Below are 24,184 nucleotides of genomic sequence, written 5' to 3' on the forward strand. Positions count from 1 at the left end.
GCAACATGGCAAAACTCTATGTCTATGAAAAATACAAAAATTACCTGGATGTGGTGGCACACGCCTGTAGTCCCAGCTACTTGTGAGGCTGAACTGAGATGAAAGGATTGTTTGAGCCCAGGAGGTCCAGGCTACAGTGAGCCCTGATGGCACCACTGCACTCTGGCCTAGGCAACAGAGTGAGACCCTGTCTCAAAAAAGAAAAAGAAAAAAAAAAAAGCCAAGCAAGATTTAACAAGGGAGAGATGAAGTTATAAATTACCCCAAGCATCACATAAAGTTCCTGGGGCCCCAGAAATATGTTTTAGTATTTGCTTTTTTTTTTTTGGAAATAGAGTTTTTAGCTCAATCCAAATATTACACTGTTAAAATTGAGGAAAGTAACATAAAAATGTTAAGCCATTTCTCTTTATTACTCCAGTCTCATTTCCTCTCCTTGATTTTTACTCAACTGTCACTCTTCCTCTTTCTTTTCACTCAACTAGCCACTGTCTTCCCTGTCATCATCTATGACTGCCTACATTTTCTTTCAAATATATATTTGAGAAAGAAAAAAGCATTTGTAAACGACCACACTTTGAAAAGAGTGCTTATCTATGAGCAAGTTAAACTATAAAGAGCCAATAAATTGGGCAGCCCACTTTTAGGTGGTCACATGCACATTGATCCACATGATCATGTAGATTAAATTAAAACACACATATTTACCTGATGAATTACTTTTCAAATAAAAATTCACTCTATTAAAACAGTCAAATTCAAATAAACAATTGAGTGTAACATTGAAAAAAACTTTTATTGAAATCCCACTACATGCATGGACTATGGCTATTTATGGAATTTATTTATTTTATCATTTTTATTATTATTATTATTTGAGACCAAGTCTCTGTCAACCAGGCTGCAGTGTAGGGGTGTGATCTCGGCTCACTGCAACCTCAACCTTCTGGGTTCAAGTGATTCTCATGCATCAGCCTCCGGAGTAGCTGAGATTAAAAGCAGGCATCACTACAGCTAGCTAATTTTTGTATTTTTACCAGAGACAGGGTTTCACCATTTTGGCCAGGCTGCTCTTGAACTCCCTGACCTCAGGTGATCCTCCCACCTCGGCCTCCCAAAGTGCTGGGATTACAGGCATGAGTCACCATGCCCAGCCTGGAATTTAAAGATAAGTAAAGCACAATTGTATCTGGTGAATATCAAGTACTAAGAATTATTAATAAATAGAGAGGAATATGGTAAATACTAATTTAGGACTGCAACAATGGCCAATGGCCATCATTTGTTGAACATCTATTATGAGCCAAGCAATGTCTAAATATTATCTCCAATGCTTACAACCAGTGGTTTCTGAAAATTTTTTAGTGTTCCTACCAGTAAAATGTTTGCAAGCGTGCTCCCCGATATGTGCTAGTCTGTATAGATATAGTATACTGATACAATTGCAACAATACAGTGTTTTATATATAAAATGTTGAAATTAGAAATGATGAAAAACTATAAAGGCTAGCACTTGATGGATCTGCTTCAGCATCCCCTGGGCAGAAGCTTCCGACATTGAAGAATACTACTAACATGTTGTGTGGTAGAAACCGCTGCTTCTCCCCAATATTCATTACCCTTTTCTCCCATAATAACGGGATCCCTCACTTTTATCTGAGCCCAGGGCATCTCAGAATAAAGGTTATATGGCTCAGTCTCCCTTTGCATCTAGGAATGGCTTTGTGCCTAATCTTTGAGGTATGAGGGAAAAATCATGCTTACAACTTTTCAGACATTGCTTTAAACGGACGAACAATGTCCATCTCTGTACTTCTTTTAACCTGCTATTTAGCACGTCAGCATGGTGGTAGGCCTCTTGGACTACATGTGCAAGGGCAACCCCCAAGGGTGGTAAAAAAGAAAATAAAAGGTACTTGGGTCCTTTTAAGACCTTGTGGAGCAGCATAGACATTCTAGCTCTGGACAGCTAACCTAGGGACTGTCATATATGAAAGAAATACATTCCTATCTTGCAAACACATCATTATTTTGGTCTCTGTTATATGTAACTGAACCTGTCTCCTAAAGAATACAATATGCAAGGTAGTTTTTATTGTCTCTCCTTACAGCTGAGGGAAAAGGGTCAGAGAAGTTAATTTTTTTAGTTATCCAGCTGGTATATGGTTGAATCAAAAGAGCCCAGACTCCATTCTCTTTCTACTAAAATAACAATCTCCCATGATTGAAATACTATGGAATCAAGGAGGAAGGAGACATTAATATGACCTGGAGGGATTGATGGAGGCTTCCTGATGGTGGTGGCAGTTTATTGAGATCTAAAAGATGGGAATGGAGGAAAAGGCATTGTGGACTAATTGAACAGGGTGAACAAAGGTAAGGATATAGGAAAATGTAGAAAAGGCTCAAGAGGAGCTTGTGTCAGTTGTTCTTAGGTGATCACTATTAAGTCTTTGGCTTTATTCAAAATATGTTTCAGGGCACCTACAATATAGCAGATAAAAATTAAGACCTAGAAATAGAGTGATAAAATCAGATGTCATAATATCCTAAATATATGAGAAGATAATGCTACCAGCAATGCCTACATGTTAAAGTCCAAAGCCGATACCAAGCAAAAAAGGCCTTCACAATCAGACTCAACCCAACCTCATATTATGCTATTGCTCTGTGCTCCATATGGATGAAACTCAGGACATGTGAGTTGCCTGAACTCTGACCTTTGTACTTGCACTTCCCTCTTCTTGGAATGCCTTTTACCTACTTTGCCTAGAAATGTCTTTTTATTCTTTAAGAGCTAGACAAAATTCTCCCTTTCTCTGATTCCTTGAAATAGGATGGCTTATTATTGTAGTTTCTTCCCTTCCTGCCTGTCTGCCTGCCTTCCACCAGTCAGTAAAAATGTGCAGGGTTTCTGAGGTATAACTGTGGGAAAGATAAAGCAATATTTTCTTTGTGCTTCATGAAGTTTACATTCTAGAGAGAAAGATCAACTATTAATGAAATAGCTGCAATTCAGTGTGATAACTACCTTGATAGGAAGAAGAGCCTTCGGGGAAGCTCCTAAGAGGAACTCTACCCTGAATCTCACTTTCCTAGAAGAAGCATAATTTAAGCTGAACCCTTTAGGATATGTAAGAATAAGCCAGGCAGAGATAAGCAAGGCGTGTTTAACAACATGTGCTTTTCACCATGCATTATCCATTTTCATTAACATGTCTATTCATTAGACTAGGAAACAATGTGTTTAAAGGTCCCAAGTGATTCAAAAAGAAGAAAAAAAAAACCCACCAGGATTAAACACTCATTCAGATTCATGCTAAATGTCTGATCATTGTGCCTTAGATATGTTTATTTTGTCCTTCCTGTATGCAGTATTTCCTACTTTCACCTCCACTTCAGTTTAGCAACTAGAGCTGCTTAAGGTCTCCCACTAGCTTTTAAAAATCTCTTGTAAATTGTAGAGCAGCATCTCTCAAACTTCAGCAATCCTAAGAATCACCTGAGGTACTTTTAAGAACAAATTTTTTGGTTCCACTCTCAGAGATTCTGATTCTATAGCTTTGGGGAGGAGCTGGAGATCCCACGATTCTAACAACCTGACCTGTGAGACCTGACGCTGCCAGTTCACAGACTGCACCTTGAGCAGCTTTATGCTTGAGAAGCTACACAAATATTTTTCAGGATTATTTCCCCCTTGTTCTTAAAAGTGCTCTGCTAGGTTACACTTCTTGGAATAAGAGTGGTTTCTCTGTCCAGGTAGGTAAGGCTTTTAGGGGAACCCCTCTAAGAAAGACGGGCCAATATTGCTACTTTCACATAACAGTCACATTCTTCACTTGGACAACCGTTTTATTTTCCCGTTGGCTCTAAATCCAAAATGACAAGCCTAAGTAAGGGCTTCCCAGTAAATGAGAAGCTATGAGTACAGTAGTCAACAAACTGCCCTCTGCAAGGGTAATGCAAGGCAAAAAAAGTGAATTAGTTTGTGAATGGTAAGTAGGTCAGGTCTTCTGTTGGTTTTTTTTTGTTTTTGTTTTTGTTTTGACTTGGCTTTTAAAAAATCATCCCAATCTAAATAGAACTTTTTTTTTTTTTGAAATGGAGTCTTGCTCTGTCACCCAGGCTGGAGTGCAATGGCATGATCCCGGCTCACTGCAACTGCTGCCTCCCAGGTTCAACTGATTCTCCTGCCTCAGCCTCCCAAGTAGCTGGGATTACAGGTGTCTGCCACTGTGCCCGGCTAATTTTTGTATTTTTATTAGAGACACGGTTTCACCATGTTGGCCAGGCTGGTCTCGAACTTCTAACCTCAGGTAATTTGCCCACCTCGGCCTCCCATAATGCTGGGATTACAGGCGTGAGCCACCGCACCTGGCCAAAATAGGAATTTTATAATTTTACAATAAGAAAATGATGAATCACTGAACTTTTAAGAAAGCTTTCAGTAATTGCTGACATTTGCCTCCATGTGTATCATGTTTAAGAGTCTTCAAAGTTAAGCTTTTAAGAGCCATGAGAACAGGGATCATGTCTCCATGTGAGCATATCCCACAATTCCTGGAGAGTGCTGACTATTTAGAAGATTTGAAAATAGTCAACTTAAAAAAGGAGGAAATTAAACCAACACACAAAAATTGGAAGGATAGTTTTGATGATTAATTAGGTTCTCTCTCTCTCTCTCTCTCTCTCTATATATATATATATATATATACACTCTCACATATAAAGAACCTAGAGTATAATCATTTCTTGATAACAAATTAGCTCCCTTATCTCTTCTATTTCTTTCTTATTATGTATTGCCTACAACAGCTCTGTCTGATAGAACTTTCTGGAATAATGGACAATTCCATATCTGCATTGTTTAATACAATACCCATTAGCCCTACTGGCTACTAAGCACTTGAAATGTGGCTAGTGCAACTGAGGAATGAATTTGTAATTTTGTATTATTTTATTTTAATTAAATTTAAATAACCATATGTGACTTATAACTACTTTTTTGGAAAGCAAAGGTCTAGAAAGTAGGACAACATAGTAGTTGTTCATAGTGTGTTCAATTTGTTGAATAAATAGAGCTCTTTCCTTATAGATGTGTATATGTTTAAAGTAAAAGAGTTAGAAAATGGTAGCTATCTCAACTGCAGGCCAAAACATGTAGTGAAGGAACAAAACATCAGGATCCAAACCAAAAAATAAGTTTCTTATTGAGCAGTGTTTCTCAAACTTAAATATGCATACAAATCACTGAAGTTTTTATTTTAAAACATAGTTTCTGATTTAGTAGGTCTTTGGTGGAACTTTAGATTCTATTGCTCACAAACTCCCAGGTAATATCACTGCTGTTAGTCCATGGGTCACACTCTGAGCAGCAAAGGTCTAGATGTAGGTAAGCCATGGACCTATGTAACTGCTACTGGCCCAACTCCTGAACTAGCAGTGGCTTCTCATTTTGACTCACCAGTTCAAGATTCAGTCAGAGAAATGTTTTATTTTATCATAGATACACCCACCTTACCCCCAGTCTCACGATGAATATTCATTAAGCCCCTTCTGCATACTAGGATGAGTATTCATAACAACCCCTGCAAGGCAGGTAGTATTATTCCTATTTTATATATAATGAAACAGAGGCTTAGAGAGGTGATGTGACTTAACCAAAACTCAAGAAAAGAACTAACTGGCAGAGGTGGGTTTACAACCCAGTCGTGCATAAAGCCAAAGGCTAGTTTCTCTCTTTATACTCTTTTGTTACTCAAAGTATGATGTACAACTAAGCAGCATCAACCTCACCTGGCAACTTATTAGAAATGCAGACTGACGCATCCCAGACCTAGTGAATCAGAAACTTCATTTTCTTTTTTTTTTCCCTGAGGTGGAGTCTCACTCTCTCACCCAGGGTGGGAGTGCAGTGGCACAATCTCAGCTCATTGCAACCTCCGCCTCCCGGGTTCAAGTGATTCTCTTGTCTCAGCCTCCCAAGCAGCTGGGATTACAGGTGCCCACCACCACACCTGGGTAATTTTTTTCTATTTTTAGTAGAGACAGGGTTTCAGCATGTCGGCCAGGCTAGTCTCAAACTCCTGACCTCAGTTGATCCACCCGCCTCGGCCTCCCAAAGTGCTGGGATTACAGGCGTGAGCCCACCTCTTGCTTATAAAGCAAAGCAACAAGCAGTTAAGAGTAGGGATTCTGCTGATTGTGGCAGTTGAGAAATGAATTTAGATTGGCTAGGTTTGACACCAGAGCAAATATTGACAGCTTTGCCTCTATTGCTAAATTCCTATTGCTTCATAGGAGTAGTTGAGACAAAATAAAGCTGTTTCCTGGTAAGTAAGGATTTTAAAATTTGGAACTGCATTCCCAATAGATGAAAACATTAACAATATAGTTTTAACAATGTCCATGGGAAAAACCACAAAAAGAAGAAAGCATGTTTGTTGAAAGATAAATGTACTAAAATCAGCAAATTCTTCCAAAATATCATACCATTATTAATCACTGCCAGGATGGTTCAAAGGAACACACATATTTCTCCTTTCTTTCCCATCAGAGGCAATTATGGAAAATGGTCCAATCAAAAGTGAATCATAGCCTAAATCATAAGAATATGTTATTTACACTCAAATAAATTAATGTCTAAATGTACAGACCTACAACAAGTGCTTGGTCACCTCACTTCTGTAATATGGCAACTTCCTTCTCAGAGAGCTCTTGTCCTCAGCTTCCTGATGCTGGTATCAATCAGCAGTGCCATTTAAATGTTACTTAAAACATCTCTTAGACACAAACCCATTCTCTGGCTCCTGAGTGAAGCTCATTGCTAATTCAATTGTGTCTCTATGTCACTGAACCCATAGTATCCTTTTTCTTGTCACTGACACTCATGTGTTCAGCCTTTTTTTTGGTTCATCTTTTTCCCTTTAGTTCACTCTCTTGTCCTTGGCCCCAGAATCATAGTTTTGTTTGCATCCAATGGCCTTTTCACATTGAAAGCACTCTGTAAAAATGTTGCTGATATTATATGATATTATAATTGTCCACAAATAACTTTTACATAAATAACTTTCTTGGCAGCCAAATCCAATGGGGGATATACTACTAAGGACCCACTCATATTCTTCATAACCTAACTCTTATTTGTGTTCTCTTTTTCTTCTACTTTTCTCTCTCCCTTACTTTCCTAGGAGGGTTTTCCAAGCAAGAGACCTGAAACTTCTCCCTTGTCTCCACTATTATTTCTACCTCTAGAAACAAAATTTCAGCAACAAAGTGTCTTATAGGAAAGTAAAGGCATTGTACTGCCAGTACTTGCTAGATGTTTCTTTTACTTCTCAGTGTTTGCCCTTAGACAACATACAATAATCTACACATTCACTCTCCCTATCAGTTGAACCAGGTCCCTCTGACACTTTGTTTAGTGCCATTGACCTACAATATAAAGTACAAGATTTTTTCTTTTATATCTGCTTTGTTTTTATTTTTTATTCTCATAAAGGGACATACACAGATTCTCAGCCCTTTATTTAAGGCCCTGATGTACTAGTTTATTGTTTAGCAAATACTCACTCTTCCCCTAATTCGAGCTTGGCAACATGACTTATTCTGGCCAATTGGGTGTTGGTGGATGTAAGGTGAGCAGAAGCTTTAACTGTGTTTGTGTCACGGGCTTGATTTCTTGTCCTTTGACTATCACAATATGAAAACATACCCTGGATAGCTACTGTCCCACCTCCTGGTCCCCAGAATGAAACTTCTGAAGCAGAGATGCCCCAGCCAACCTGGTACAATGGCACCCCACTCACCCACTTATTCGTGGTTTCACATTCTGCAGTTTCAGTTATCTACTGTCAACCATTGTCTGAAAATATTAAATGGAGAATTCCAGAAATAAACAATTCATAAGTTGCAAATTGCTTTCTATTCTGAGTAGTATGATGAAATCTCTCACTGTCCCACTCCATCTCTTCCAGGATGTGAGTTATTTCTTTGTTTAGGGTATCTGTGCTGCAGATGTTACCTGCCCTTTATTCACTTATTAGCTGTCTGGGTGATCAAATTGACTATCCTGGTATAGTAGTTTCTGTGTTCAAGTAACTCTTATTTTACTTAATAATGGCCCCAAAGCACAAGAATAGTGATGCTGACAATTCAGAAATGCTTAAGAGAAGCCCTAAAGTGTTTCCTTTAAGGGAAAACTTGAAAATTCCTGACTTAAGAAAAAAGAAAAGAGACAGCATTGTATGATGAAGCTGCTAAGATCTATAGTAAAAATGAATCTTTCATCCATGATATTGTGAAGAAGGAAAAATATAATCATGTTAGTTTTGCTGTGGCACCCCAAACTGCAAAAGTTATGGCCACAGTGCCTGATAGTTAAGATGGAAAATTCATGTATATAGGATTTGGCATTATCTGCAGCTTCAGGCATCCACCAGGAGATTTGGAATGTGTCATCCATGGATAAGGTGAGACTACTGTATTCTGCAGCCTGAAGCAGCTGTCCTAGCTAACTGATAGAGAAGAAAAAAATGCTTATTGCCGCTGATTTTTTTTTGGTTGTGGTTACACACCAAAAATTGGCAATTACATGAGGTAACAGTAAATGGTAGATCAAGCACTACCATTTACTAGTTGAGATAGAAAATCCATATCTTTAAAATGAAAGGTTTGTGTTCATTGAACTCCAAGATATTTAACAAGATGGAAAACTCATGATTCTCAAGTATACCTCTCTCAACAGTGCATTTCTATCAAAGAGGTCAGAATATTACCAAAATATAAAAAGAATATTAGAGAAGGTTAGAGCAAAATAAAAAAGCATTCTAGAATCTCTCTAATTTTATTTTCTAAAGCATAAAGAATACTATTTGTTAGGGTGCTGTTCAATATTGAACTCTAAAGTGTCTGCTGAAAGGAGAGGAGAGCGCAATGTCAGTTGGTTGCAGAGTACCAGAGAGTAAAGCATTATTATTTGGCTGAGTCAACCTTCAGGGAACTGGATTCACAAGCAGGCTCTAATCACTCTGAGCTCCCTAAGAACAAAGTACTTTCAGTACCTGGCATGAAACACTATTCAACATGTAATGGGGAAGAATAAAAATATTGAGCAAAAAATAGAAACTAGAGAGTATTGAAGTGGAAAAATATCTTTCCTTGTTTCTGCTTGGGTGATTTTAATTTTCATATAGGGATTCCTGCTTTGCATGAGAAGCTAGACTATGTCACATTTAAGGTCATACCCAACCCTAATATATCATGACCTCATATAAGACAGAGCTTACTTAAGGCATTTTCATGTAAGAACCTCAGTGACCCCTTCATTAATGCAAGCTCTAATGTCTCTTAACTTACCTTCCTTAATAAAAAGAAGTCTCTTTAAATATATTTTGTACTTTTGTTTGACACTTACATAAAAATTCCCTTTGGCCCTAGAAATTTCCTGTAGCTATTCAATTGTCATTTGCATTTGTGCCAAGGAACCATTTTCACAAGAACCATTTCTATCAAAAATCAAATTTGCTAATTAGCAAAATTAATACATTTACTTGCAATGAAATTATTTTTTAGAAAGACTTTAATATATGTTAAAGCTTGGCATTCTGATAATATTTTTAAGAAGGAAATGTTCTTACGCAACATGACTAAAATGCCCTAGGGAACTCTGAAATCGTTTTTTCATTAAATAGAGCTGAAATTATGTGAACAACTAGAACATGAGGAAGAAAAGAGGAAAACAAAGTATAGAACACTGGGGAATGAGAAAATAGACTGTGAAAGGAACAGTAATTTGTTCAAGGTTACCCCGTGAGTCAGGAACAAAGGGGAGAGTTGGGACTCTGCCAAGAACCAAAGCTTATCCACATTAATGAGTATGCACTAAATCTGCCATTTTCAATACATAATGTATTCATGTTTTTTCTACATCGGGGAAGGTATTCATATTTACCATTCTCCTAGAATTTAGCATGTTTTACCTCATAAGTGTTTATTTTTTTTTTCAAAAAAATGATAAATACTTTAGCTGCTATCAACCAGAAGCTAAGAAAATCTCTGAGGCAGGTATTATAAGTCCTCTCTTATAGGTTAATTTAGGTGCATAGAGATTAAATAAATTACTTAAGAACATACTACCATGATAATTGGGCCATTTTCATCATATCAAGCTCCTCACAAACCACTATAAAGATCCTTACCCTTAAGGAAGCACAAAGTGGGTTACATTAAGTATGAAAAAGTTGATTAGGCCAGGAATAGTGGCTTACACTCGTAATCCCAGCACTTTGGGAGGCCGAGGTGGGCAGATCACTGAGATCAGAAGTTCAAGATCAGCCTGGCCAACATGGCAAAAACTCGTCTCTACTAAAAAATACAAAAAACAAAAAAAAATTAGCCAGGCATGGTGGTGCACTCCTGTAGTCCCAGCTACTCGGGAGGCTGAGGCAAGAGAGTCACTTGAACCTGGGAGGCAGAGGTTGCAGTGAGCCAAGATCAGGCTCCAGCCATTTGTACTCCAGCCTGGGTGATAGAGCAAGACTCTGTCTCAACAGCAACAACAAAAAAGATGATTAAAAATAATTTTTGAAGGACTCAAAGTCAGATACAAACCTGGTATTTGGAAGAATGGGAAGAATTTTGATGAATTTGTTATTTGCGACTCATTTTACTAGCTAATCATTTGGGATACCAATTGAACATGTCTACAAAAGACCCTTAGATCTTACTGATAAATTATTTCTACATGAGGATATCTGGCAGTTACGCCACCAGAACCCTAATAGGAGGCTTTGAAATAATTTAGATCCACCACAAGAAAGTGGTCTTACTTACAAAATCAGCTCTCTGTGCTCCAGGCCTACTTCTTGAGAGCACTGCTTACATGCTTTGACAATGGCTATAGTGAAGAGATTTTTTGGGACATAGGATTCCTTCATATATAAATGGATCCCTGTCCTGAATATATTGAAGCTTCTGTGACAAGTTATCTCTCATCCAAATCTGCATGTATCAGGGGAGTAAGTAAGGAAACTATGTTCCCAAGCTGACAGGCAGAAAACAAGGGAGGGAAGAAAGAAACACAGGTAACAGCATGTTAGAAATTAAATAAGACTTCTAACTCTACAGCCAAGCTATCTGGATTGACTCTTGACTCTGCCTCTTACTGTGAGTCCTTGAACCAGTTACTTGACCTCTTTATGACTCATTTTTTCCCAAGTGTAAAAATAGAGAAATTAATAGTACCTACCTCATAGGATTGTTATGAGGATTAAATGAGTTAAAATTTGTTAAGTGCCTACAGCAGTGTTAGGCATACACTGTTACAGAAGTTTGGTAAGTAAAGAAAGGTAGGAAGAGTAAGAGAATAGTGGATGTAGGTACCTTTAAGACATTGCTTTGTTTGCTTCTACAGAGCCCTTTACTTTCCAGTGTTGGGGTCTCTTGGCTCCTTCCAGTAAGCCTAACCTTGTTTCCGGTCTGGTCCCAAACTATTCTTGTTCAGAAAGATTTAAGAAGCCCTAGTTCAGTAGTTCAGGTGATTCAGCATTAAGTCAAGCTTGCTGTTATTCTTGTCCTGACCCTGTGTCCCAGTTTTAGTTCCTCATTCTTATAATCAAGTCCCAACCTTGTACTCCAGTTCTGACATTCTGCTCCCCTGTGGCTGAGTCCCGGATTGCAGAACCTGCTCAGGACCGCCAGAACCTGCTCAGGACCGCCAGTTCTTTTGAGGTATTTGAGGTAACATCTCTCAAAAGGCAGCCTATGGACTAGACACACTTTGTTTGGCAGACACAGTGTTTGCACTTTTGAAAATTAGTTGCCTGTATTTAGAAATTGCAAACATGTACAAATTTCCATCTTATTTTGTAAAATGATCTGGCACCAGTGGATTCCAAGTGGCAGTTGCTCTCTTTAAATGGCCATGTGCTTTCTATTCCCCACAGGCCCCACTCTGACTGCTCCATTTGTTTCTGTGATTTGCTTGGTCATTGAAGGGATTTGAGGCTGTGGGCTAAAACTGAGAAGAGCCAGTACTTACCAAGCACTTACTTTGTGCTAGGTACTGTTCTAAGTGCTTTCTGTGTTTTACTCATTTAATCAAAGGCCAGGAATCTGTTTGTTGTTGTCCATTACCCTTGTAGCCCTTCTTCTCAGCTTCATACCCCCTGTCTAGCATGCATCTGTGGCTATCCCATCTTGTTTGATCACTATCCTCCACTCATCAGCTAGCGCCCACTCACAAAGCCTTGTTGGACCTCCATAATGTCAACCACTCACCCACATTGTGGCCTATAGCTGGTCTCCAATCTTCCCTGCCCAGCCAGACTCTATCTTCAAGAACTTTTGCCATCATAGTGGTTGTGTTACAGGTACAGAATCCTAGGCTTCATTGGTTTGCTTGATCCTATTATCTCATGCTCATGCTTTCATAAAACCATAACTTTCATTATATATAGATAGGCTCTACCCTCACGAAACTTTTGGCCACTTCTTATTAGAAGCCCAATAAAATCCATAAAAATATTTATTGATTACTTACTTTAGGTTCCAGACTATCACAGAAATTGACTTGAATATTCCTTTTATAAGAAACCCAAAGAAGTTTGCTAGTGTCTATGAGCAATTCAGTCTCTTTTCAGTGAGCCACTTAGCAAACTAACACTATTTAAACAGCGTTGTTTATTTTTGTTTCATAATGGGCCCTTGTGTTTTACAAAACATGAATGAAAGAGGGAAATATTTGATGACTAAGACAAGATTTAGAAATTATTAAAAGAAAATTTACAAAACTACATGTCATTCCATAAGATTATTTAGTTTGGGTGAAACTAAATGTGAATTGAATTTAAATTCAGCCAATTAAGTTCTACCACAGTTTTAAAAGAAGGTAGTAATGAAAAAGTTACTTACATAAGGAATTGTGTCCAAAGTATCTGTGTTGACAATTATAGGAGCAGGACTGGCCTGAAAAAAGAAATAGAAAAAAAATTAAATAATGAATAGTGTATTCTGAGACAGATTATTTCTGTTAACTTATTTAACAAAGAGCTCAACAGGCATTTCTTGAGGACCTCTACAGGCACCGTGTCAAGTGTTAGTAGGGTAAATAAAATGACTAAGAGTTTCTGTACCTTCCCCCAACTCAAATATTTGTTACATTTACCACATAAAGAAATTAAGTAAGCATTCATATAATTTACATTCATTTTCTCTTACATTCTACAAAACAATGCAGGAGGTGAGGATTTCTGCTATGTGTAAGGCAAGGATTTCTAATAAATTGGGTAAGAGTTAAAACTTGTATCTTTTCTTTCTTTTTTTTTTTTTTTTGTGAGACAAGAATCTCGCTCTGTCACCCAGGCTGGAGTGCAGTGGTGCAATCTCGGCTCACTCAGCCTCCGCCTCCTGGTTCAGGCAATTCTCCTGCCTCAGCCTCCCAAGTAGCTACGACTACAGGCACACACCGCCACACCCAGCTAACTGCTGTATTTTTAGTAGAGACGGGGTTTCCCACATTGGCCAGGATGGTCTTGATCTCCTGACCTTGTGATCTACCCACCTCGGACTCCCAAAGTGCTGGGATTATAGGCATGAGCTACCGCACTCGACCTGTATCATTTCTTTATGAAATGACTTTGCTAAAGGAATTTGATTTCTCTCTCAAGGAAGCAAAATTAAACCTAAACCAATATTCATAGTTATTCTCTTCAAACTGCCTTTTGAGAGTATGCTATATTCAATACAAAAAGGCTTCACTTATCAACATCTACGTTTACACATTATGCGTGCTGTATCCTGTATTTTCTTTCTTTCTTTTTTTTTTTTTTTTTTTTTTTTTTTGAGATGAAGTGTTCCTCTGTCGCCCATGCTGGAGTGTGCAGTGGTGCAAACTCGGGTCACTGCAACCTCTGCCTCCCCAGTTCAACGATTCTTCTGTCTCATCCTCCCGAGTAGCTGGAACTACAGGCATGTGCCACCATGCCCAGCTAATTTTTGTATTTTTAGTACAGACGGGGTTTCACCATATTGACCAGGCTGCTCTCAACTCCTGACCTCGTGATTCGCCCGCCTCAGCCTCCCAATACAGGCGTGAACAAGCATGCCCTGCCATATTTTATTATTTATGCACCTCTAATCATAAACCTCTAAATCCCTAGATAGAACATTGACAGTCAAATATGACAGAAAATCATATTGGATATGTTCAACTTTCTTTTTTTTAAAAAAATTGTACGATTTGCAGTAATTCTCTTTAAAGTTTAGCGGGAATCTGTGTAAAACTGATACAGGAGTGCTACAAGGCAAATCACTAGAAAATAAGAGATTGCAATCTCTATTTGCATCACCAGTCTAACTTCATGAATATTGAGTAGAGCTATCTTTACTTTTTAGTTTCTAGAATTTTCACAACAACTTTTGCTTTATCCTCCAAAGGATCTTTCATCTTTGTCTCAAATTACAGATTTCATTTAGATAAAGGACATACTTTCATCTTGATTAATAGAGAACTCTTCTATACGACATGGTGGTTTTGGAAAGTGCTCAAATTTTGGGGTATTTCATTAGCTGTGCCCTCTGGAGTTAACAGAGTTAACAGCTTTTTAATGTCAATCTATTCTGTGGAATCCTAATCAAATGATAAAACAAATAGCAATCCAGCAGGTTTTACAAAACAAAATTTCATGTCTTTACCAAAAACACTGGGCATGGAAAACATAACCTTGGCATACATATGTATATAATGGATCAACTAGTTAGTCATAATATTTTCATGATTCTCAATGGGACGTATCTTGTGGGTAAATAAAGACTCTGGAGAAAGACAGTTTTTACTGGATCTCATTAAAAAAAAATAATAAGAGGCATGTAGAGAAGAGAAAAAGGTATGAGGTCTGCAGTCAGAAGACATGGGCTCAAGGTTGGTTTAGCAACTTTCTGATTGTATGATTTGGGGGCTCAGTGACTTCCTAGTGGTGTGATCTTAGGGCAAGTCCACTAACCCTCTCTGATTAATTTTCCTTCCGTGTAGAATGGGAATAGTAGTAACAACTTTCCAAAAAGGTTGAAGATCAAATGAGGTGATATAGTTGAGTGTGCTTGGTAAACAGTACATTTCAGAATTAATGTTAAATATTATTAGTAGTAAGTGTCTCTTAAGATAGACTACTGTAAAGATATATTATTGGATGGCTTGTAAACTGTTTACACTGCAGAGATCTCAATGCTATGTTGGTGGCTACAACTGCACTAATAAGAGGCCTGTTTAGATTGTGGTTCTAAAACAGCTCATGTCAAAGGCAATAATAACAATAATTACTGCTTATTAAGTATGTATTACCATTTATTAAATATATACATAAGCATATATATCCTCATTTAATCTCCACAAAACCTTACTGATGAGGCATTATTATCACTATTTCTATGTTATATATGAGGAAAATGAGGCTCAGTGAAAATGAGATTTGACATTTGAATATTGTTTTTTCTGACCTCAAAATTCATTTTTCCCCACTAAGCTGCTTCATAATCCCAGTATCTAGGTGGTTCTATCACAAGAGTCTTGCAGTGATATGTCAGCCCTATACTAGAGTACCATACAAGAACTAGACAAAGCAAAGACCACCCTGAAGGCAAAAGATGCCTAAGGATATTGCAGGTTAGACGTTGAACACAGTCTGGTGAAGCCTTAGTATGTATTTTTAAAAAGGTTTTTAGTTTTGATGACATCTCTCCTATGCTTTCTGTTTGGTTTCCATGACTCACAAAAGTGTGCCTCATATCCAAGAATAGACTGAAAACTCTCTGAATATCACATGTAATTCTTGTATTTCCCCATATTTTCTAGTATAGCTTTGATTAATAAATAGGTATTAATTTTATTTGGGGCTTTCATCCCATCTTTGCTTTTTTTCTTACAGATTATAATAATGTGTTATGGGAATAAATTTTATACATACGCCTATTTCCTATGTAATGCCATTTAAAACTTTTGTATGTTTATGTTGCTATTTTTCATTTTTTAATGTAAATTTAGTCTTTCCAAGAAGACTGTATGTCTAAAAATTGGCAAGTATTGTATACTTTTCTAGAATTCTCCACAGCACTTGGGTATACAGAAGGAGCTCAAAGAATACTGAGAAATACTTAGAATTTATTGACTAAAGGTAGTGATAAAGTATAGAAGTAGGTATAAAGGAAAGTAATATATCTTTACGAGCTTTGTAAAGCACTTCTAAAGAACTGGAACCCCAAAATCTCATGATACCAAGACTGTGACTACTTTTCCAATATCCAATATCACTTTCTTTCTTTGTTTAGTTACTATTACTTAACTAAATTCAGCTTTTATAAAATAATAATTAATAATTTCATAACTCTAGGATGTAGAGTCTGTGAATGGACTCCACTTGAAGTAGAGGACAAGAATTTGAAGGATAAGATCTATGTTATGTGGAATCTATGTTATATGGAAAGTTTATTATTCCTTCTTGGTGCCAAAGGGATCCAGAAGCCACTGCTAACACCTACCTCTCTAAAAGTCATTAAAAATGCATGAACAAACAAGATTGTGTAAAAATAAACATATATCACATACACCTGACATTGGTAACGCCCTGGTGTGACTGCCAAAGAGATGCCACGGTAGGCTCTTCTGAATGACACACTACCCCACTGTGCTGCTACACCAGGCTCTCTGAAGACTCTCCCACTGCCCTGCTCCAGGACCTTCACAGCCCACCCCAGACTACACAGAGCATAGATGAATTCTGAGCATGGCCTATGAGTGTGCTCTTCTCACCAGTTGGTAATTCCAAATCTTCCTTTAGCTCATCTGGCTCCTGATTCTTTGTTCACTTTTACAGTCAAGAGAGGCTATGACTAGTTTGATCTAGTTTGTTTCTGAGTCCTAAAAACCAACTATCCACTTGCTTTGATAGTTCCCACCAAGTATTTTCTCCACATTTCACACTGCCCTGCCATATACACCCTCTTTATTTTATTATTATTTTTGAGATGGGGTCTCGCTCTATCACCCAGGCTGGAGTACAGTGGTGCAATCTCGGCTCACTGCAAACTTCACCTTCCAGGTTCAAGTGATTCTTCTGCCTCAGCCTCCCAAGTAGCTGGGATTACAGGCACCTGCCACCACGCCTGGCTAATTTTTGTATTTTTAGTAGAGATGCAGTTTTGCCAGGTTGCCCAGGCTGGTCTCAAACTCCTGACCTCATGTGATCCACACGCCTCGGCCCCCAAAGCGCTGGGAGTACAGGTGTGAGCCACCACGTCCGGCCATACACTCTCTTTCTTCCTTTTGGATATCCTCTTTAATTGGATGCCTAAATCAAACTGGTGACTCAGCAGATTCTAGTGTCCTTCTTTAATATGCTTTTTTCCATTAACTGGAAGGAGATTTATGAAAAATCTAGAACAAAATCTTTCTTTAATCAGAAAATTCAAGATTTATCTTTATATACATCTAGGCAAGATTTTTGAAACTATAAGGGATGAAGAAAAAAAAATTCTTTCTTAAGTAAACCAAACTATGAAGCCTTTTTTTGTGTTGTTTGCCTTTTACATGACATTCTCTTTCATGCACAGAAAGCCAGTTTTCAGCATAAGGGACTAGTACAGCTAATTACAGAGAAGCAAGAAGCAAGCAGAAGGAATACTGATATAATTTAAATGATAGATCAAGTTATTAATGAATGTCAGCCACCTTCCTATCCTTGGGCTTCATGTGACATACAAATGTTCTCAGATTACATGAACAATTTTGTTTATACTAGTAATAGATACACTTTTTTTTTTGCTTGCTTCCAAGAGACTCTAAATAAAAAATAATCTGACAAAATGAATGCAACTTTACAAAGGAGTTCATTGATTCTGACTAATGTGGTTACCTTTTGATATGTGTTAAGTGTCAGATATGGGAAATGCCTCTGACATATGTGGACAGGTGGTCATGAAGCCAACTATGGTGAAGAAGCCTCCTCAAGCAAGGTATTGGCAGGAAATGTAGAGTAGCTAGTCAGCCAAGAAACACTCTCATGTAGCTTAGCTCCGAGAAGTGTAGGCTAATCAGTGGGAAGGTCAAAAGACTTAATCTAGTACCTAGACTTTTAAGAAGCAAGGTAGAAAAGGAGAGAACTAGATCAGCAAGAAATTAACAGTAACACTCATGGTACTAGGAACTATGCAGGGATTTCAGCTGACCCGGGACATGCAAATGGAAGGCAGGTGATTGTCATTACGCCAATTTAAATAGGTGGTAAAATAGTGCAAGAATAACATATGAGCTGTTTTTGGATACCTTTGGCTTATCTTATCAGCCTTACAGGACAGGATTACTGAGTGGGCAAGATTTCTTGTCTATTTAGAGGGACACAGGCCCTATAAATGACTTTTATATATGGTATGGCATGACATTTTGAAACAAAATGGAAGCCACTGAAAGTTTGAAAATGAGTCCTGTATGTGGGTGTATGTGTGTGCATGTGTATGTGTGTGATTTCATTATGAGAGGTGGAGATCCCAGAACCTCAAGGTAAATATTAGCTGTTTTAGACTGGCAGCTACAAGATAGCATGCTAGCAAACTTTTTGCTTCACAATTCACACAGAAGATTTCCATCGGGATGAGCCCCAGTCAGACCATATGCTAATCCTGGCTAGGGAAGTAGAATATTGGGGTTACTATGCACATACCCCATCAACTTTGAAGTAAGACATCTAACATTAAGTACCGGATTAGATATGCTGAGTGTTGAACACAGGATAACTGTATTGTGTATTAGATTTTCCCCCATAACCCTCTATTATGTTGGCTTACTCTGGAAAAAAAAAATGTGGCATGGTTGGGGGAGTGACTTCCGCCTTCATTTCCTGAATTACATTTTAGTTCTCCATTGGAACGAAACTCTGTCTTTCCTCTCCTTCTTTTCCACAATCTTTTAGGCTGGAGTTCCACATCTCTAGGTGCTAGTAGGACCCTACTCCTATTTGGAGGATTTACTTGGAACCTACAATTATCACTACCTGAAGGTTTGTAGTATTATGACCCTGCCACACCTAAATCCCCTGATATATTAATACTGGGACAGATAATAATAAGTGTATGTACTTATATAGCAAATACTTTATGTGAATTAACTTATTTAATCCTCACACAATTCTATGAGACAAACACTGTTATTCTCAAAGTAGAGCTGAGGAAACAGAGGTTAAATAACTTTCTCAAAGTCACACAGCTGGTAAATAGCTGGTAAATCTTCAAACCCAAGCAATCTGGCTCCAGAGCCATGTTCTACTGCCCCTTAGAATGAAAACAGATTTCACCAGTTATCTCTGGATTTTTTTTTTTTTTTTTTTTTTTTTGAGATAGGATCTTACCTTGTCATGCAGGCTGGAGTGCAGTAGTCCCATCTTGGCTTACCACAACCTCTGCCTCCCAAGCTCAAGCCATCCTCCCATCTCAGACTCCCAAGTAGCTGGGACTGCAGGCATGTACCACCATGCCTGGCTAATTTTTGTATTTTTTATAGAGACGGGGTTTTGCTATACTGCCCAGGCTGGTCTCGAACTCCTAGACTCAAGTGATCCACCTGCCTCAGCCTCCCCAGATGCTGGGATTACAGGTGTGGGCCACCGCACCCAGCCAGATCCTAATTTTTGCTGTTGATCAACAAGTTACAAGCCAGTTCAAATCTAAATTTATTTAATGTGCCTTGATCTTGGCTGGCCCAAGAACCTTCCCCTCCTTCCTCTGGTGTAGTTGCTGAGGCCCAGTGTGTCATAAGAAGAGGCCTGTAGGAGGCATGCCTAGGAAAAGGCTGATGGCCCCAGCATACCCAGGCTGACTGATTCAGGCATTCTTTGAGCAAGCCCCAAATAAATGGGTAATTGACTGATTAAAGACACATCGATGGTTGTGTAAGAGAGGAAGAACAAAATAGGAAGAACAAATATATTCTAGAATCATAGAACTTTTAAAGCTGAGATCTTAAGGAACCTTTAATTACACTCTTACATTCTATAAATATGAAAATGAATACAAAGAATATGACATAACCCAGATCTCACAATTACATAGTATCAAAACTGAGGTTAACAAGAATAACAATAATAAAGTATTAAGCATATATAAGGTGCTTATTATGTTTCAGTAATGCTATAAGTACTTTAAGATATATGAATGCATTTAATTTTTACAATGTTCTAAGGAAAACATTATTGTTCCCATTAAAAAGAAGGAAGGAATGAAAGAAAGAAAGGAGAGAAGAAAGGAAGAAAAGAAGATCCCAACTGAGCAAGTCACTTGCCTAAGGTCACAAATCTAAGAGGTGCCACAAGCAGTTTTTAAACCCATGTCTTTCTAACCCCAGAGTCCATAATGGTAACTCCAACATTTGATTTTTTTTGCCTGAGTTTTTCTAGGCGACCAGACTGAAAATGCAATTATTTTCTGCCTGGAAACTTGTTAGTTTCTCTTTTACAGTCTGAAGAGAAATTTATCACCGTTCTGACTTAGATTCAATTCCCCAGTTATCAGAGGTTTCTGGGTCCCTTAATGTCTTGCAAACCCCCACTTAAAAATGGGACAGTGCTATTTTCCAGTTAACCTATTTCTCAAGAATTTAGCTGAATAAAGAATGCATGTGTAGGCCAGGAACAGTGGATCATGACTGTAATCCCAGTGCTTCGGGATGCCAAGCCAGGCAGATCACTTGAAGTCAGGAGTTTGAGACCAGCCTGGCCAACAGGGTGAAACCCTGTCTCTACTAAAGATACAAAAATTAGCCGGGCATGGGGGTGGGTGCCTGTAACCCAGCTACTTGGGAGGCTGAGGCAGGAGAATGGCTGGAACCCCTGGAGGTGGAGGTGGCAGTAAGCTGAGACTGTGCCACTGTACTCCAGCCTGGGGAGACTGTGTCTCGAAAAAAAAAAAAAAAAAGGTTCTTAGGTTATTATACTTATTACTGGAGATTAGTTTTTACTTTTTGCTTTCCTAGATTTTCTTCTCCTTTTAAGTTCCTTCTCTACAAGACAACTAGGTGGGTGCAGTTCAATCCAGCCCAGCTCTAAGTCATCACTACTAATATCATCCAGTGGCTTTGGCTTGTCACCTGCTTTGCCCCTGCTCTACGGAGACATAAGACCGCTGGACTTACTGAGACACGAACAGTGCTGAATAAACTATGTGAGTGCCTGAGGGCGTGGCTAGTTCATCCTGCAGACTGTGTCAGGATGTCTAAAGGAAGCAACTTTGGAGGAAGCTAAGATTGTGGTCCCTTTCCCTAGCATTTAATAAAATGCCTGGATGGTTACCTACCTAGCTTAACACCAGCCTAGCTCAGAAAACAAGGTAGCAGGATGGAAGATTCATGTTTTGGCTTGAAATCAATTTGACTCTGCTTGCCTGAACTCTTAATAATAAAAATAATATTACCCTCACTTTCAGATAACAAAACTAATAACAGTAAGTAACTCGCCCAAGGTCATTCAGCTGGTAATAGCAGGACCAAGAGTCAGACAACGGTAGCCTGGCTCCAAAGTGGATAAATCCTAACCACTGCAATACATTTGCTTCTGCACCCTATTAAGATTTGATAAGTAAAGTCTGTTCTAGTCAACACAATTTGTCTTACTTATCCTTGAACACTCACCATTAGTATTTTTTATCCCCTTGGACTGGAGAGTTACCATCTCTGTTTGATCCTCCTTTAAAATACAAAGTAGTAAAATATTTTGCAGAAAATAAATGAATATCCTATGAATATCCTAAAGACCTCAGATAGGCTGAGTTGGTCTTCCCTTTTTTTTCTAGTGCAGAAATGATGGAGCAGCCTGGAGAATGAAGCACAGAAAGTAGAGACCAGTAGATCCCACAAAAAAATTGAGTCATTAGCTCAAATCTCAAATGTGGTTTAGTCAATGTGCCCCATGCCAAACAGAATTTTCTTCACTTTATAAGTTTTTTCTAGAATCAATCCTATTTGGATGAAGAAATGGGGATTGCTTGAACTGTTAGTATGAAGATTCTTCAGATCTCCATCCTGCATGCTCGCCATATACGTACTTACACTTAGTATAAAAGGCTAAAATAAATTACTCACTAAAACTACATCTACAGATCAACACTGAAACACAAATTGGCAATTATATCAACCACCAATGTCATGCTATATAAAGTATATCACACACATTCAATCATTTAATTTCCATAGTGAGAGGAAAGGGAACTAACATTGATTAACCAACTACCTACTGTGTGCCAAGCAAATATGGTAAGCTTTTTACTTGTGTTTTATTGTTTACTCCTTACAGAACCCCAGAAGGATTGACGGAACTTTCTCTTGTCTATAGAGAAGTAAACAGAGGCACAGAATGATTCTGTGAATTTCTCAAAATGTCAGATGGCTAGAAGGAAGCAAAACTGAGATTCAAACCCAGGTGTTCTGACTCTAAGCCCTTTGCTTTTCACCATTAGGCCATAATGCCTCAAACCCCACTGACTCACACCGAGCTTTTACAAATCTGCTTTATTTATGCAAATGATTTCTGAAGATCCCACAAAAAATGGAGTCAATAGCTCAAATCTCAAATGTGGTTTAGTCAATGTGCCCCATGCCATAATAACCATACCTACTTAATTCACTGATTCACTCTATGTGGTGCTATTCCTGGAAAGATCCATGTGGATACCATCTGTTCCTCGTTGCTAAGCTACTAAAGAGCTATAATCTTAGCAGTACAGTTGTATTATCCAGATTTAGGTGCCAGAATTCAGAGCAAGCTGCCAATAACCTGGTTCTTTAGGTTAAGGTAGGGCTTATTTCTTCTGTAGTACATGGATAATGGTTTTATACACAATGTGGGATCACTAAATTATTGCTATTTAGTTTCCATCCTTCTTCTCTCTTTTCCTCCCACCAGGCAAGGATCCTTACTACTCCAAGCACATACCTTGCTCATGCCTACCGCAATGTCTTTGTTTTCATTTCTTCCTTTTCCTACATCCTAAATCAGTTGCAGTCCTCAATCTTATCTCTCTAACCAAATTCTTTCCATCCTGCAAGGACAATCTAAAGTTCCAGATGCTTCATGATACTTTCCCCATCATCACTCCAGGACTCAATCTATACATCCTATTCCCCACATTTTAAAGCACTCATTATTTGTATTACTTCAGATCACACTGAATTTTAAATATTAAAGGAAATAAGTTATGTGAAAGCACTAAACCCTGACATTCTGAATGAATATTTCTTTATATTTTTATACATGTTGATAGCTAATTGGTTCATGTGTGATATTCATGTCTCCGTGCAGAAATTGTAATCATTTTGAAGTCAGGGTCCTCCTCTCTATTTCTTCATCAGCCACTCCACCTACACTCCTAACAGTGCTGGGCATACAACACACACTCAAACACTCAAACAGTAATTGTTAATTGATTTTTAGACCTATTGGACTAGAGCCACAGCAATAGGAGTTACAATTCATGAGAAACTCTTGGGGCAACAGAATTAGATACAATGGGTAGAAAGGGGTAACTGCATGCTGCCCTCTGGTGATGAGCTCTTATACCACACTGCTTGATGGTGTCCATGTGTGAGCATCTGGAGCCTGTCATGCACTCCAGACCATGCTATTCACTGCAGAGCATGAAAATTAAGGAAAATTATAAACAGAAAGACTCCTCTATGCTAATTATACACTGGTACTTTGTGCTTATTCTTCCCTATTCCTCATTGCAACCCTATGAAGTACATATTCCAATTATGATTATCTTATAGATAAGGAAAGTGAGGCATGGACCTGTAACACAACTTACCCAAGATCACCAGACTAATAACCAGATGGAGCCAAGGCTCACTCCTCTTGACTCCAAATCCATATTCTTGTCTTACCATTACCCTGCATGGAACAAGGATGGTAGCTGCTGGCAGTGTTACTTGTTCTAACTTATTATTCCACTGTACATTTCAGGAGAAGTTAGGTGGGAGGAAGTATGGGATTTGGAGAAAAAACTAAGAACTCAAAAATCACGACAAAGCAAAATGACATCTACAGCATTTCTCAAACTTTCCAGATAAAATGTGAGAATATATCCCCAAAGACTTACCCAAAACTAGACATTTATTCAAAGCCTCATGTCTTATATTAAAAATGAATGCAAT

General features: G+C 38.3%; 1 protein-coding gene across 52 annotated transcripts in view; it reads right to left on the reverse strand.

Annotated features, from left to right (window-relative positions):
• Positions 1–24,184, reverse strand: part of DLG2 (discs large MAGUK scaffold protein 2) — a 2,173,362-nt gene that overhangs the window by 783,314 nt on the left and 1,365,864 nt on the right. For 51 of the 52 annotated variants that reach the window (NR_165353.1, NM_001351274.2, XM_017017256.3 and 48 more), the window contains one exon: positions 12,913–12,966. The exons of the other annotated variant lie outside the window; for it this stretch is intronic. Coding sequence is in view for 50 of the 51 variants with exons in the window: in NM_001351274.2 (NP_001338203.1) it covers positions 12,913–12,966 (54 nt within the window). In the remaining variant the exon portion in view is untranslated. The remainder of the gene's footprint in view (positions 1–12,912; positions 12,967–24,184) is intronic. 52 annotated transcript variants of the gene reach the window in all.

The sequence above is a fragment of the Homo sapiens genome, chromosome 11, assembly GCF_000001405.40.
Source record: "Homo sapiens chromosome 11, GRCh38.p14 Primary Assembly".
Taxonomy (NCBI): Eukaryota; Metazoa; Chordata; class Mammalia; order Primates; family Hominidae; genus Homo; species Homo sapiens.